At 37.5% G+C, this 18,528-nt stretch overlaps 1 annotated feature.

The window, feature by feature from the left end:
• Positions 1,770–2,381: an enhancer, noted in NCBI's record as "OCT4-NANOG-H3K27ac hESC enhancer chr1:95873423-95874034 (GRCh37/hg19 assembly coordinates)". NCBI's record gives its function as "activates a minimal SCP1, AML or CMV promoter by ChIP-STARR-seq in primed H9 embryonic stem cells {active_cell/tissue: H9 hESC(primed)}" and the evidence as "EXISTENCE:reporter gene assay evidence [ECO:0000049][PMID:30033119]".

Below are 18,528 nucleotides of genomic sequence, written 5' to 3'. Positions count from 1 at the left end.
TTCCCTCCCCTACAGGACCACAGAAAAGAGAAATCAGTTCCAACTTGGAGTATAAGAAAAGACTTCATGGTACATTTTAGCAGAGTTGAAGATAGAACAAGCACAGTGGCCACCTGCCCAAACACAGCCAGGAACGTAGACCTGAGCCACCTGACCCTGGGACAGAGCAGGTACAGCAGGGCAGGAGGAGTGCACAGAGCCTCAGCATGGCCTCGAGGGTCCAGTCCTCCGACTGTTCTCAGAGCCAATCCTGGAAGAATACACACTGGAATCTTGATGATCACCATAAACAGCAGGCTGAGGGATGAACAGCAGCAAATGTTGTTCTTTGATTTTCAAACTTTTCTTGAAAAGTGAAACTGCTTTAAAAATGTATACAAAAATCCCTACACATAGAAGAGATAAAAGTGGAGTGGCTCCAAGGAAACCAGAACAATAATAGTAAGGGCGTAGTCGTCTTCCCATTCTTCTCTACCTTCCACCATCTTGGCTCGGGGAAAAAAAAAAAATCACATTAGAAACATTTTTCTGACAGACCAGGTAGAAAGTGACCGTTAACAAGAAAATTAACTTGAATGCTTTCTCTTGCCTTTTCTTTGTACTCCATAACAACTCTTAACAAAGTAAAGCAAGACTGTATATCATCTCAAATTTTGTTTGCCAGGTCTGTGATCTCTCATGAAAATGTGTCAGAAGTTGTCAATCACTTTGGAAGTGAAAAGTTCAACCAGATAGCATATTGCTGGGCTTTTTTCTTTTTCTTTATTTCTTTCTTTTTTTTAAATTCATTGGAATGCTCAAAAAATCATTCTTCTATTTCACAGGCATCTGTGATGGAGCAAAAGTACTGACTTCTGTCAAGTTCACATGAAACAGAAATTCACAGAAGTCAACACTTCCAATCGATGCAAATGATCCTGATGGAGAAATTGACAAGAATTACTGAGGGCAGCATCTTGATTCATTCTCCTGTCAGGCCACAGGAGGCTGAAGCTCTGCTGTCATTAAACCAATTGGGGGACTCAAGGAGGGGGAAACGGGGCCAGAGCTGGAGCAGACTTTTTTTTAAAGTTTAAGACAGGATAAAAGAGCAATTTAAAAATCATTACTTTTTAACCATGAACACAGCTATTATTCTGAACTCCAAATCAGGGATGTAATAGTCAAAAAGACAAAAGAATAGCAGGGTAAATTGTTGAAACAAATCTCTTTGTAGTCGCTAGTAAAAATCTCATTGCAATTCAAAAGATAAATGGCAATTAAGTAGTTTCTGTTAAGTGTTTATTGTTCACCTTTTATGTGGGTGGCCTTTTAAGTGATTTTCTTTTTACAGGAAAAGAGAAAGTTTGTTCTCTTCAGCATTTGAACTAAACATGATGCAAATGCATGCAACCATCAATTTTAAAATAATAATCGTCTTGATTTTCTAAGCCGATAAACCAACTACTACACACAACTTCCTTTTCAGGCTGTTGTTTGCTTGGCTTATCACAGTTAACTATTGCACTGTGACTCTGCATGAAGACAGTAATGTAATTAAATCCTATTAACACATCAGGAATAAAGCCCTTTAATGGGCACACAGGCTTTGAGAGGCAGCTCGTTCCTGAGCAGATTTAATATCCTTAAATTAAGCAAGTGTGAATGGGAAGATGAATCTTATTAAAAACTTAAATCTGATTATATTTGAAAATTATTGGTTCCTTAATGTAATAAATTATCCAATACAGACTAGAACAAATAATATGTCCTAGCTTCACATAACTCCACTCTATAACAAGTGACAAAAGAAATTATGTGTGACTGTGGGGCAAAAAGAAAGGTCTTTTTATAAAAGTCATTTTGCATAATGAAATACCTAAATCATTTTAATAAACATTTGGGGAGGGGGGAGTGCAAATGACACAGTTGGAGAGGGAATCATTTACCCTATTCAGAAAGGGAATGTGGAAATAGTGATGCTAATGTTTTTTTTTAAATTGCCATTCTGGCCAATTTGTTGTAAATTCTGAAAAGAAAAGCTGCAGCTTATGTTGTTGGTAGCAAATTCCTTCTCCAGAAGGCTAATGCAAATGTAAGCCATCTGCCACGCATTCTGCTGAGAAGGCTGGAGTCGCAAACAATGGGCCAACAGTCTCTGAATACTAACACACACACTCCACAGGCAAGAAAAGTTTGCATTTTCCCCAAAGGTATACTTTACGTTGCTTCCTTTCCCATCCTCACCAGGACCACAAGGCATCCACCCGCTCTCTCCTGATCCAACTGGCACCAGGCGCGCTTCCACATGATTAGTCTGATGATGTTCACGAGGACAACCCCCAGAGAAGCGTTTCTGTTGAAACTGACTGAAACAGGAATGCAAGACCTGTTAAATTATTTAAGCAAGACAAATGCTTTACAGTGTGTGTTTTTTAACTTAATCCTATTTTAGCAAAAACTGGCATCGCCCATTGCACTACACATCAGAACATTGCTTGGGTTTTATCCTTTTATGACTGGACTCTTTCAGAAGGCTTGGGAACACTGTCCTCAGCTCATGTGAAAGCCGACGTCTCCCTAGCAGATGGACGTGTTAAACAGAAAGCACCGGGCAAGCAGACGCTGCAGGGAACCGTCATATCTGAAACCAGGGTCTGCTCACATACCTTCAAGTAATTCTTCCTGCTCCATTCGAGGAAATTCAAATGCTCAGTTATTTGGCAAGTGTGCCCAAATGGCTCATTCAACAACATGATGAAACATTTAAATATTCTTGGTGATTGGTGATGATAGGGCAGAAGAAGAGGCGACCTTCAGTGAACAGCTATCCCTGGAATTCTATCATCATTTCCCCTTACCCCCACCCCAGCAGGTTTGGCCGCTGCCATTTTTCATTCCAATCTCTTCTGGCTCTGATTATCATATTCCCTCTGGCCTCTTACTGGAGGTTCCTCAGACTTGCCAGACTGCATCTTATCTTCTGTCCCACTGCTGGTATACAGCTGCTTTCACTGCCTTGCATGCCTTTTTCAAGACCCCTCTGTTCACACATTATCTTGTTATCTAAGCAAGAGTCTAGTGTATGCTCCAGAGCCTAATTTCCTGGGTTGGAATAGCAGCTTCCTAATTTACTAGTGGTGTGGCTATGGACAAGTTGTTCAACTTCTCCATGTCTCAATGTTCTGAACTGTAAAATGAGCATAGTAATAATATAACCTACACCAAACAGTAAATAGGATGAGGCATGTGAAACACTTAGCACAGTATCTAGTAGAACGTGTGCTCAGTAAGTGCTAGCTATTATTATCATCTCTATTGTGGAAATGCAACAATCCTGTTTGCTGTCCCCTCCATCTTTCACTCCTTAATATTATCCTTTCTCTGTATCACCATGTGCTTCAGCAAAAGTACATGCTTATGCTGTTGCCTTCATCACATACCTGTGTTATCTGCTAGATTATCAGTTCCTTATGAGTTCATCTTTGTACCCATAAGGCTTAATACAATATCAGGCACAATAATAATTGTTTAATGCATATTTATTAACTAAATACAAAAATTAATAAATGAATAAATTTAGTAAGTGCTGGATTAAGCATATAACCAAAATAGGGAGAAGATAAATGTTTCCTACCACAAAGATAATAAAATGGCTTTGGAGGATAGAAAAGGACTACTTTCAAGTGTTGAGAAGGATGTGAAACAATGTTACAGTAGGTAGTCAGGCAGACATGAACAGTGCAGGAGAGAGCTCCCTCCCCTACCAGGAATGTGAGGTGACCATCAGGTGACGGTCAGGCAGTTGTTAAACTGTCTCTCTAGAATAATAATTGGTCTCAGCCAGTGCCAAAGAAAGGCAATCCACCAGTAAAAAGAAACACTTGACATGGTGACTAGCAGCTTCCCAACAAGATCTCAGGAGTTGAGTGAGTGGGCTCAAGCACACACATTAAGAGGCAACATGGTGAAGTTTAACTGGTATATGACCTTTTAGGGACATTTGACTGGTAAAGGAAGAACACCTCAAGTGAGCACATATACAACACCAGTAAACACTGCGCATGCTCCCCTCCCAAGGGCTAGCAGGCCACTGTGCATGCGGACAGCCCATCCCAAGGGAAGAATCAGGGGAATAGTAACACAAGACCCTGGAAGTATGTCAGCATATAAAACCCCAAGTTGAAAGGTCAAACCGTGCACTTGATCTCTCAAGTCACCTGCCTGACCCTCTTCCAAGTACGTTACTTCCTTTCATTCCTGCTCTAAAGCTTTTTAATAAACTTTCACTCCTGCTCTGAAACTTGCCTTGGTCTCTCACTCTGCTTTATGCCCCTCAGTTGAATTCTTTCTTCTGGGAGGCAAGAATTGAGTTTGCTGCAGACCCGTATGGATTCACCACCAGTAACAGCAACAGGAAATTTTAATACACTGCTGAGAATAGTGTAAACTGCCTCAATAATTAGAAAAACTATTTAGGAATCTCTAATAAAGCTACTTATATACCTAGCTAATGGCCCAACAATTCCACAATTTAATATATACCCAATAAGAATGAATGAATATATCCAGAAAAAGACATGTGGAACAATATTCACAGAAACTCAACTCATAATGGCCTCAAACTTGAAACAATACAATTATCCATCAGCAAGGAAAACAGATTTAAAATCTTGTGGCACGTTTAGATAATAAAATACTACCCCAAAATTTAAGAAAATAATACTGATATAAAAAACAATATGGATGTATCCTCAAAATATTATATTGAGCAAGAAAAGTCAGACATATAAAGGTATATATTATACTATTCCATTTACATGAAGTTTAGGAACAAAGCTAATCTATAATGGCAAAAGTCAGAATAGTGGTTGCCTCAATGGGCAACTTTCTGGGGTAACAAAAATGTTCTGTGTCTCAATCTGAATGGTAGTTACACTAGTCTATTCTCAAACTGCTATAAAGAACTACCTGAGGTTGGGTAATTTACAAAGAAAAGAGTTTTAATTGACTCACAGTTCTGCAGGCTATAAAGTATGGCTAGGGAGACCTCAGGAAACTTACATTCATGGCAGAAGGGGAAGGGGAAGCTGGCACTGGATGGCCAGCAGGAGGAAGAGAGAGCAAAAGGAGAAGTGATACATACTTTCAAACAACTAGATCTCATGAGAACTCTATCACAATAACAGCAAGGGGGAAGAGGGGGAAGTCTGCCCCCATGATTCAATCACCTCCCGCCAAGCCCCTCCTCCAACACTGGGAATTACAATTCTACATGAGATTTGGGTGGGGACACAGAGCCAACCGTATCATTCTGTCCCTGGCCCCAACCAAAGATTATGTCTTTCTCACATTTCAAAACACAAGCATGACCTCCCATCAGTCCTCCAAAGTCTTAGCTCATTTCAGCTTAACTCAAAAGTCTAAGTCCAAAGTCTCATGTGAGACAAGGCAAATCCCTTCTACCTATGAGCCTGTAAAATCAAAAACAAGTTGGTTACTTCCAAAATACAATGGTAGTATAGGCCTTGGGTAAATGCTCCTGTTCCAAAAGGGAGAAATTGGCCAATACGAAGGGGCTACAGGCCCCATGCAAGTCCAAAACTTAGCAGGGCAGTCACCAAATCTTAAATCCCCAAAATAATCTCCTTTGGTTCCATGTTTCACCTCCAGGACACACTGATACAAGGAGTGGGCTCCCAAGGCCTTGGGCATCTCTGCCTCTGTGGCTCTGCAGAGTACACCTTCTGTGGCTGCTTTCATGGGCTGGTATTGAGTGCCTGTGGCTTTTCCAGGTGCACAGAGTAAGCTGTTGGCGGATCTAGCATTCTGGGGTAAGGAGGATGGTGGCCTTCTTCTCACAGCTCCACTAGGCATTGCACCAGTGGGGACTCTGTGTGGAGGCTCCAATCTCATATTTCCCCTCTGCACTGTCCTAGTAGAGGTTCTCTATGAGGACTCTAATCCTGAGGCAGACTTCTGCCTGGATATCCAGACATTTCCATACCTCCACTGAAATCTAGGCGGAGGCTCCCAAGCCTCAACTGTTACCCTTTGCACACCTGCAAACCCAACACCACAGAAGCCACCCCAACACATGGAAGCAATCAAGGCTTAGGGTTTTTACCCTCTGGAGCAGCAGCCTGAGCTTTACCTGGGCCTCTTTTAGCAATGGCTGTAGTGATCACAATGTAGGGCACCATGTCCCAATGCTGTACAGAGCAGCAGGGCCCTGGGACTCACCCACAAAAACCATTTTTCTCTGCTAGGCCTCCAGGCCTGTTATGGGAGAGGCTGCTGTGAAAATCTCAGACATGCCCTGGTGGCATTTTCTCCATCGTCTTGGCTATTAACATTCATCTCCTCTTTACTTATGCAAATTTCTGCAGCCAGCTTGAATTTCTCCGCAGAAAATAGGTTCTTCTTTTCTACCACATGGTCAGGCTGCAAATTTTCCAAACTTTTGTGCTCTACTTCCCTTTTAAATAAAGTTCCAATTTCAGACCATCTCTTTGCAAACACATATGAGCTTACACTGTTAGAAGCAGCCAAGTTACATCTTGAATGCTTTGCTGCTTAGAAATTTCTTCCACCAGATCCCTAAATCATCTCTCTCAAGTTCAAAGTTGCACAGATCTCTAGAGCAGGGGCACAATGCTGCCAGTCTCTTTGCTAAAGCATAGAAAGAGTGACATTTACTACAGTTCCCAGTCACTTTCTCATCTCCATCTGAGACCTCATCAGCCTGGCCATCTCTGTCCATTTCCCTATCAGCATTTTGGTCAAAACCATTCAACAAGTCTCTAAGAAGTTCCAAACTTTCCCTCATCTTCCTGTCTTTTGAGCCCTCCAAACAGTTCCAACCTCTGTCCATTACCCAGTTCCAAAACTGCTTCCACATTTTCAGTTATTTTTACAACAATGTTCCACTTTTCTGGTACCAATTTTCTGTATTAGTCCATGCTTGCACAGCTATAAAGAACTACCTGAGTCTGGGTAATTTATAAAGAAGAGGTTTTATTGACTTGCAGTTTTGCAGGCTGTACAGAAAGCATGGCTGGGGAGGCCTCAGGAAACTTACAATCATGGCAGAAGGGGAAAGGGAAGCTGGCACGTCCTACATGACCAGCAGGAGAAAGAAAAAGTGAAGGGGGAGGTGCTACACAGTTCCAAACAACCAGGTCTCATAAGAACTCTATCACAATAACAGCAAGGGAGAAGTCTGCCCCAGTGATTCAGTCACCTCCCACAAGGCCTCTCCTCCAACACTGGGAATTAAAATTTGACACGAGATTTGGGTGGAGACAGAGAGACAAACCATTTCACACTGGTATGTACATTTGCAAAAATTCATTGAGCAGTGTACTTCAGGTTTATGCACTTTACTTTGTATAAATTATTCCTCTAAAAAATTTTTAGTAAGGTTTCTGGCAGGCATGTCCATTGGTACAACCTTTCTGGAGTGTTGTCTGGCAATATATGTCAAAAGAATCCCAAAACCATTGATTCAGAAATCCCCCTTCTAGGAATTAATACAAAGAAAATCAATGAACAAATGCACAAAGATGTATCTGCAAAGATGTCTATCAACCTGATGTTTATAATAGCAAAAACTGAAAACAATACAAGCCCTTATTGGTATGGGGATGATGCACAATAAAACACTATGCAGACATTCAAAAACAAGATATAGAGCCACAATTACTGACATGAGAGAATAACCGTAAAATATCATTGAGTGAAAAAAAGTTACAAAGCAGTAAATTTGGTATGGTTTTATTTTGTTAACACAAATATGCATACACATACACAAATATATCTTTGCCTAGGAAAAGATCTCCAACTATATTTAATGAAGTGCAACAGTGGCTTTCTCTGGATGAGATTTCATATGGTTTGGTTTGTTGTGGTTTTGTCTATTGCTTTTTATCTGTTTATTTTTCTATGGTTATTCATCATTTGTGAAATTTAAATAAATATACATGATAACTAGATACATACAAATGTGTATGTGCACTGTGCATGTGCAGCCACCCATTCAGCAGAAATGAGATAATGTGACCTAAAGTCATATGTGATAAAAGACAGGTGCAGCCTGTAACAGGTTGAACTTCATAAGGCAAGGAGAGTACAGCCCACCATTTACAAGACAAAGGTAAGTCTTGCCTGGCTGACACAAACAGGAACAGTCTCTACTTGGGCCCCCTTTGGTAACATGTTTAAGTAACTCATGACCTGCCAAAAATTAGAGTGTCCACTTAGACATTTACATTTTAAATGGATAATAAGTCAAATCTTCCCAGTTCAAGAATGTGGTTTTACATACAAAGAGGGTTTGTTGGTGGGTTGGGAGGGAGGTTACATCAGATTTTAGAAAGAAACAAAAGGTTGGGAAAGGGAAGACACAGATGGAGATGGGAATGGAGAGAGAGAGGGGTAGGAATGGAGACAGTGAGAAGACAGAGATGTCCTTTCCTAATCATTGCCAGTGAAAAGTAAAACCTTATTTCTGGCATTCCTGTTTGATGATGATTTGTAAGAATTCATTTTTTCTTCATTCTCTTTAATTTTCTATTGATTCTCAATGGTTGGATGCAGAGTCACTAGGAATCTTTCTGCATTTTTCTCAGTGTGTAGTTATTACAATTCAGTGACTTAGAATCTCCCTGGCCCTGTACAACCCATTTAAACAGCCTTGCCCCACCCTGGTACTATGTATCACCTCTTTCCACCTTGTTTTCAGAACCTAGATGACCTATCCAATCCATAGCTTCATATTTTTAGATAATTCTTTTTATTTTGAAAAAAAAAAAACCCTGAAACTTACAGAGAAGTTGCAAGTACAAAAAACTTCTTCCATGAATAACTTAAAGTAAGGTACTGACCTGATGCTCATCACCCCAGGAAATTTTAGTATGTTTCCAACAAACACATTCCCCTGTATAACCACAAAATCAGATTAACATTGATACATAACTATTGTCTATTCCTCAGAACCCCCTTCAAGTTCCACCAATTGTCTCAATAATGTCCCCTACATCAGAAGAGTTCAGCTAAGAATCATGCGTGCCTTTTAATTTTCATGTCCCACTTTCTCCTTCAGTCTAGAAAAACTATTCTTTCCTTGATGCTTATGACCTCAACATTTTTGAAGATAACTGGCAGTTATTTAGTAAAATGTCCCTCAGTTTGGATTTTTCTGGTGTTTCTCATGATATAGGTTAGGCATCTTTGGCAGGAATATCACAGAAGTGATACTGTATTCTCACTGCCTCCTACCAGGTGGGACACAGTCTTGATTTATCTTATTAATGATGTTCACTTTGATTGCTTGATTAAGGTGGTATATGCTAGGCTTCTCCACTGAAGTAACTCTTTCTCACTGTGTAATTAATAAATATTCTGTAGAGAGGTATTTTGAGACTGTATAACTATCCATTTCCTCATCAAATTTTGAATTATTCATTTGTTTATTTATACATATATGAAGCCATGGTTTCTTATTTTATACAATGGGTTATAACCTATTACTACCATAATTTATTTTGATGCTGAAATTGCCCTTGGGTTGGTCATTGAGGGCCCCTACAAGCAGGTGCCTGTGTTTTTGGCAAGTCTCCATCATTCTTTGATCATTTCCTCACTTTCTGGCATAAAATATTCCAGCTCATCTTATATTTTCCCTCCCCAGACCTGGAATGAGTCATTTCCCCAAGGAGCTCTGATTTCTCTTATTAGAGAATGGTATTTAGAAACCAATATTTAGCTGCTAACTGTGCTCACTGATATTAGAAGAGCTGCTGCTCCAAGATCCTTACAATGCACAGAGATAGGGAGTATACAAATGTATGTGTGTTTGCATATGTGTATATGCATGTGTGTATGTAGTACATGTGTACATATAAGTAGCATATGTGTATACACTTGTCACAAATACATTTAATATTTATATTATTTTATATCTGTTATCTGTCTTTAATCATAAGTTCACACTAATATCTCCAAATTAAATACAACACCACAGGGTTCATTTTAGTCTTCTCCCCGCCACATGTATATCTCTTTTCTCCAAAAGTAAGAACTTGGATCCCATTAATGTTAATATATTTATTGTTTTGATCTATCACTCTAGATGTAACCATTCCTCCATCTCTGCTGCCATCATCTCCTCTGCATGAAACACTCTTCACTCAGCTCAGACGTTGACACCCCACATAAGGCGCCTGTCCATGTGCATGCCTCCAACACTGTGTGGACTCTGACACCACACTCTAGGCCTCTCCGATTTGTCGCACCCTCTTCACTCTGCTTGACCTCTAAGATCAAACATCAGGTCCCCTCTCCACATGAACACCTGTTATGCTCTGCCTACCTACTGGCTTTAAGAAACACTTGTTCAGGAATAGATAAGAAAGGAATGAAAGAGAAGGAAGGGAATGGGAGAGGAAGAGGAGTCATGGGTTATAGTTTAACCCATGTATTTTCCTCCTCATTCTTCCATTTCATACTTCAGTTTAAATGCATATTTTAACATTGCCCGCATACAACATAAGTTTATCCCAATTGAAATTCTGCTTTTAGATCTAGAAGCATGTCTCACAAATTGAAATTCCAATTTTTATGAAAATCAAGCAAGCCTGCATGAGGTAGAAAACTAATTTAACTGGAATTCAAGGGTTCAATGATGAATGGTTATGTATATGATTCTGGGCAGCAGGAATCTAGTTAAACACTAAGATTTTTTAGTTATAGACATGGAAGTAGTAGCTGAAATCACGGGAATGAATGAAACTCTCCAGGAAAGATAAGTGTAAAGTTGGAAGAAAAGGAAGCCTAGGGTATACTGGTATTTAAGGACAGTCAAAAGAAGAAAAAAAATTGAAAGCTTAATCAAAAATAATAAGTAGGTGGATTAGAAGAAAATGGTGTCATAAAATCCAATGTAAATAAGAAATTTTAAAATGTTTAAAAATTTGTAAATGAGAAATTGATGATTTAATCAATCATGCAATATGTTGTGAAATGAAAGATCTAAAGAATAGCCATTGGATTTTGCAACTATACAGTCAGTGGTGACATTGGCAAAATACTTTCAGTAGAGAGTTGTAGTAGTTTGAGGAGTAAAAGGGATAGATCAAGGGGACATGTGGTAGAGTGACTTTAGTCTTGTTAATCCAAGTCAAGAGGGAAGATGAGGATACACGGAGTTAGAACAAGGAATAGTGAAACTGTGAGAACGTACGCCTAATAACTTCCATTTTCTCCAGGATGATGTGTCATTTGTTGATGGAAACAAGGCAGGGATGAGGTAGAAGCTTGAGAAGGATGTTCAAGATGACAAAAGCCAACTATAGAGGTTGGTAGAAGGAGCTTCCTAGGAAATTAAGCTGCACGTATGCTCTAGAGTAGATCTTTCTCTTTGGCCATTTGCCCCTAAAGATAAGCGTTTTGTCTCTAAGCCCCCTAAGCAATGTTTCTAAATTAAAATTTTACTTCCAAATCCTGAATTCTCAATATTCTATGTCTTGGACCTCAAATGAAAAGGAGATGGAGGAAAGAATTAAGTCATAACCATAGTTACTGGTGAAGGTGGTGAAAAGAGATGTATATCATGTAGGAGATGATAAAAAAAATATGTCATGGAAGAGATGATTTTTTAAATAGTCCTGTGATATTAAATCAACTTCTAGTTTTAAGGAACACCATGTTTAGCCATATTCTTAGTGGTCACAAATGCCTTTTGGGCCTTGCTGACATCTCTGCTTACTCTTACACTTTTATCCAGACATATACACTGCAGACTCACCTCAGGCCAGTGTTGGCCTCAGATCAATTGCTGAACCAGAAGTCTGAGCTCTCTTCAGGATATCCCACATTGCAGATTTCTGGGCTCTTTTCCCATCTGCTTATCTTTCACCATGGTTCTATGCAAAAAGGGACAGCTTTTAGGCATTGTGCTCCTGGAACGGCAGAATCCTTCTCTATCGTGTTTTCTGTATTCAAACTTTAAATCCTCTTTCTTTTGGTCAGAATTGTCATATTATGTCCATACATGTGAAAAGTTATGCTATTGGTAGCTATAAAAAAAAAACCTTACAATTTAAAAATTCACCGGCACTCTTTCCTGCCATCTATATCTCCATAAATATAGATATAGATATAGAGGATATAGACGTAGATAAGTATGTATGTATGCATGTGTATTTGTGTATATAATACACATATGATATATATATACCAACAAAGTTGATAAGCAGATTATTCGGGAAAAGCACAAATCTATCAGCAAGCTTGGGAAAAATGATCTGAAGCATTATTCACACATATATATGCATGTATATTATGCATATATAATATATACCATATATAATTATGTCTATATTTATATATGTATATATAATTATATATTATATATACATGTATTATATAATGTATATGTGATTATATATTATATATAATTATACACAATTTTATGTGTATAATTATATATAATATTAACATAATTATATATACATATATTAAATCTATGTAATATATACATATATAGTAAATATATTACATATTTAATATACATTTATGTATATATTATATATTTTATATATATTATATATACATAATTATATGTATATATTATACAGATATGCATACATACATTTTCCCAGGCTTGCTGATAGATTTGTGCTGTTCCTGTCATGCTGAATAACCTGGTTACCAACTTTGTATATTCACAAGCAGTTAACAAGCCAGGAATTAGAATAGTATTAACTAGAGCAATTGATGATTAAATATATACAGTCTTAAACTAGTTACTACTGTGCTCTAAACACCTGAGTCCTTGGCCAGAGTGTCTGAACAGATTAGTTACATACATTCAGCCCCATTTAGGCCTAATTCCTTTGTGGCCTTTAAATGGTGCCTGAAAATGCTTATTAAACCTTGTCCTTACATAAATATTTCTATATCCAGTGTCATGGTGGAAACACATTTGCATACATTGGACATCATTGGCCATCCATAGATTCTGGGGCATGGCCATTGCTCTCTCAGCAACTTCATGTTAGCTGTAGATTCTTTATTTTACCCTGTGTGAGCCATAGATCTTTTATTTGTGGCAGAAACTAAAAACCTCTGTAGGACAACAGGCCTGAAAATGAGCTTTAGAGCATAGTAATTTACACATATATCATCAAGGCAGGCTACAAACATAATCTATGGGAACGTTCAGGCCTCCAGCTTTTAATAAGGCAAGCAACAAGTCAAGTTTTATGTGAGAGATACTTAGTTTTAAAATGTTGATAAGAGACACTGTTCTATATAGGAAGCACCCCACAGAAATACTGTGCAAAAGTGCCCACAGATTCCCAGCTGGCAGAAGTGTGTCTATAAGTTTTCTCTTTGCTATGTAGCACTCTGGGAATTAAAGTCCACCAGCCGTAAAGCTTGCTCCTGTCACAGCCAACCACAACTGTCTCTAATTAGTTCTGGTTTGTAGCTTCCAGACACAAGTATCCAAACACACAATCCGTCCAGTTTCCCCATCTGGTTCTGCAAAATGCAATGCATAATGTCCTTCTATGATGATAAGGGAAATAAATCACATATACACACACAAAAATACATACACACACACTTATCTGTTATAACACACATACATAACGCCATTTTCTTGGAAGGAGGGAGATGCATTTTTCCATACTAGTAAAAACTACTGAGTTTTATGACAATCAACCCCTAAGAAAATAGTAGACGAAGCACAAATTCCAGAAGAACAGAAAAAAGCTACTATTCTCATAATGAACACCATGCATTTGATGTTTTGTTCATCTAAATAAGTCTATATCATGATGTCACACTGGACAAATCTAAATAATGAATAACTCCCAATATGTGAGCCTCAACCAGACTCATGCCCTCTAAGGTCACATCTCACCACCAAGGACATACCCTACCTCTGTGTTTCTCATATAGTCCATTCTACCTTGTTGCTCTCACTACTCTATTCAGAGATATCACTTGGAGCTGGCACATTAACATGATTCTTCAGGTCCTGCACTTTGGAGGGATTTAGAACCACAGTAGAAAGAAGCAGAGATAAAGAACTAGTGTCTGGTAGCTAAGATCTCAGCATGCAAAAATAACTTAACCTTTGGCTGTCTTTCCTCCTTAGGAAGACCTATTCCTAACACCTCTGCCAACTACCAAGTGCTTTTCTTGATCCTCTTATATCTGTTGACTGAGAATGTTTTTTGTGTTCATTTTAACCAAATTTTACCTTCAGAAAGATATGAGGGTAAGGGAATATTTGGCTATATCCCAGTCTCCACACCTCCTAAACATGGACATGATCCTCCTCACTATCTCCTTCCCACCTCCCTTTTGTGGGGTTGACAGCCAGGCTCTCTCAAATGTGCCTCCAACACTGTAAGCTCCCAGACCTACCCCCTTGAAGTCTAAAAATCTAAGCATCCAAGGAAAAGAAATCTAAAACAAGAAATCTAAAATCTAAATGTGCCAACTTTAACACATACATTGATAAATGCCCCTTTTTCTCTCTCTTCTTATCAAATATAATTATTTAATTATATGTCTGTACTTAGACTAGACTGAAGGCACAGTTCCTGTTGTATAGACATGAAATAAATGCTATGTGAAAGAAAACATAAAGTAAATGAATAGCTGGTTCCATTAGCCATCATAGTGCATTTGTCAGTGTTGACAGCATCCACTCCTGGGTAGTACATTTCTCTTTGCACTTCGCACCTCATCCCAATGCCTTATCTTTTTCTTTACAAATATCCACCCTCTCTCCACTAACATTTAACAATTATTTTCAAAAATTTTCAAAATCATCAAAATGTTCTTTCTCACTTGTCTGTCTCTTGATTAATATGGCTTAGTCAAGTTGACTTTTCTTTCAGCTCTCTGAGCATACCTGTGCACATATTGCCTATATTTGAACAATTTAAAAATGTTGATAAGAGACACTGTTCAGTTTTTAAATGTTGAGACACCGTTATCTCTTATCTACATTTTAAAACTGAACAGTGTCTCTTATACTTGTACAATTGCATATATTTGAAATGCAATTTCTGCACCCCAATGTCATTTCTTCTAGGCAATCACTATTCACCCTTCAGGTCTCAGCTTAAAATTGCTTTCTTTAGGGATATCCAAAACAAAATTAGGAGCCTCAGTTGCCATAGTACTTCCATAGTACTTATCATAATTATAATTGAATAATTATGATTAGGTTTATTATTGTTTTCTCTCATTGGACAGTAAGCTCTTTGAGGGATTTCCAACAGCAGGGTTGAGTGAGCTGATGTGGACAATCTCCACCAACTATAAACTACAGAATGGCTGGATTAAATTTTAACTATATATTCAAACTCAAAAAAAAAGGGAAATAGAAATCCATGAGCATACAAAGCAATGAGATGTTAAACAGAAAAAAAAATCAGAGCATTAAGCAAGAGTTAACCCCTCCAAGAAGAAGTAAAGTGATGACAACAAAAGCATAAAGCCTTGGAGGAAAGACGTGGACAAAAACGTTGTGCAGTTGTTATTCTATACATGAGTTAGTATAATATCACTTAAAGGTAGACTATGAGTTCCCTAAGTTAAGAACATGTACTACAAATCCTGAAGCAATCACTTAAAAAAAAAAAGTTGCAACTTTAACATGCTTCTTTATGCCAATAAATTGTAAAGTTTAGATAAAATTAACATACTTCTTTTTTTTTTTTTTTTGAGATGGGGTATCATTCTATTGTCCAGGCTGGAGTGCAGCAGTGCAATCTTGGCTGACTGCAGCCTCGACTTCCCAGGCTCAAGCAATCCTCCCACCTCAGCCTCCCAAGTAGCTAGAACTACAGGCACATGCCACCATGGCCAGCTAATGTTTGTATTTTTTGTAGAGATGGGTTTTTGCCATGTTGCCTAGGCTGGTCTCAAACTCCTGGGCTCAAACAATCTGCCTGTCTCGGCCTCCCAAAGTGCTTGGATTACAAGCATGAGTCACCATACTGGGCCAAATGGATATTTCTTGAGAAACACAAGCTACCAAAGCTCATTGAAGAAAAAAAATCGATCATTTGAATAGCCCTATGTTTATGATAGAATGCGAACGTGTTATTTAAAACCTTCCCACAATGAAAACTAGATGCCCCAAATCCTTCACTGGTGAATTATACCATGTATTTAAGGAGAAAATAATAAAAGGTCTACATAAACTCTTCCAGAAAATTAAAGAGGACAGGATACTTTCCAGCTTATTTTATCAGTATTAGCCTGATTACAAAACCCGGCAAAGACACCATGGAGAACATGATTATCCATGTAGAAAATCCAAAAAATGATTTAAAAAGCTATCAAAACTAATAATTGAGCGTTTATAAGGTTATAGGATATAAGATCAGTCTGAAAAATCAATTGCATTTCTACACACTGATGATATAGTAGTTTCTTAAAATATTAAACATACATGCCATATAACTCAGACTTTCCACTTCTGGGTATTACAAATATAATCATATAACTCTACAAAAACTTGAAGGTGTATAGCAGTTTTATTTGTAACAGCCAAATACTGGAAATAATCTAGAGCCTCATCAACAGGTGAATGGGTAAGCAAATTGTGGTACATCCATATAGTGGAATACTACTCAGCAATAAAAAGTAATAAGTGATTGTTACACTCAAAAATGTGAATTTCAAAATCACTTTACTGAAAGAAGCCAGAAGAAAAGAATACACATTGTATTTTTATAATTCTATATATATTGAACTCTAGAAGATGAAAAGTATTCTATAATGACAGAAAGCAGATCAGTAGTTACTTAGGGATCGGGGTGAGGAGAAGTAAGGGAGAGAGAGAGGAATTACAAAGGAGCAGAAGGAAATTTTTGGAATTTGCAATGAATATGTCTACTATCTTGAGGTGATAGTTTAATGGATATATACATTTACCAGTTTTATCAGAATGAATATTTTATATATGTACAGTTTATTATAGGTAAATTAAACTTTAATAAGGCTATAAAAATAATCAAAGGAATGGAAATGACAATTTTTTAAAAGTTAGCAAATTTTAAAATACCTAGATGTGAACAAGTATCAAACAGAATTTTTTTAAATGAAAAACATAGTCATCAAATTTAAAAACTTAATGGATGAGTTATAAAGCAGACCAGCTCCATCAGAAAGCAAATTAATAGGCTGTAAAAAAGATAAAAGTATATTATCCAAGTGGCAGCTCACATAGCTAAATATATGAAAAGTATAAAAGAATCATTAAATGATACGAAGGGGAAATGAGGAGATATGACATATATCTCAAGAATTCAGAAAAGAAGAGATATAATGGGTGAATGATAATATTTGAAATTATAAGGCTGATAATTTTCTAAGATTTGAGAAATAAGTAAATTTAAAATTGATGAATCACACCAATAACAGGAAGTGCAAAGAGAAAATAAATGTCAATCTAGAAAATTCTATAGCTAGCTAGCTAATCATTTAAAAATCAAGACTAATGAAAACCTTTCAGACAAAGATTGAGAGAAAGTCTTTGGTGAAAGAACTACTAAATAGTATCCTTCAATAAGAAGGAAATCAAATATAGAGGAAATGAATGTGTTGCAAGAAGCAATAGTGACCAAAGAAACTGGTAAATGTGTAGGTAATTCTAAACAAGCATTGACTGAAATTGGGAGGAAAAAAGGAAAACAACGACTGATATTAAGACAGTTAAAAACAATTTAAATAGTAGGTAATAATCGCATGAAAATTAGGAGGGCAAAGGCCATCAGTAAACTGTTACAAATTCCATATGCTGTTTTGGAGGAGCACAAACATGTTTATGAATTTTGGGCTTTGTTAAGTGAAGCATTCATATTAATATTTAAAGATAACTGCCCAAAAATAAGCAAGTAAAAGCAAAGTCTGATACAGTTGACACAGAGAAAATTTTTGCTAAGTAGAGTTAAAAATAGGTGAACGGAACTTCAATAAGGCTGCAAAAATCATCAAAGGAATGAAAATGACAATTTTCTTAAGTTAGTAAATTGCTAACGGTTATTTACTTTCAAAGTTAGTAAGTAAATACATTGCTTGTTATTTTCTATATTTCTCAAAGCATACCTTTATTTTCTTAATGTGATATTACTTCTGTTATTGAGCTTCGTAAGCATAAGGATTCCCAGAAACAGAACTACTAGGATATGCAGTTGGATTGCGTGATCTTGGGACCATCCAGTAGAGGTAATGAGGCAGTACAGGGTAATGCCTGTTAGTACAGGCTTAGGAGTTGGAACTCCTGAGAATAAATTCCAGCTCTTTCACTGATTAGTGGAATGGTCTTGAACCAGTTACTTAACCTCTGATTATCATAGGTCCCTTACCTAAAATGCTATTGTCCTTAAGTGTTGCCACTATTTAATGATATAATTCATTGAGAAAGTGTTTAGTAAGGTATCTGGCATATACTAGGCATTCAATTAATGGCAGTTTCTGTTATTTCTGCACCTCTATGTCTTTCCCAGGACATGT

Source organism: Homo sapiens, chromosome 1 (genome assembly GCF_000001405.40).
Source record: "Homo sapiens chromosome 1, GRCh38.p14 Primary Assembly".
NCBI lineage: Eukaryota > Metazoa > Chordata > Mammalia > Primates > Hominidae > Homo > Homo sapiens.
Note: the sequence above shows the minus strand (reverse complement) of the source record. Positions and strands in the feature narration are given on the sequence as shown.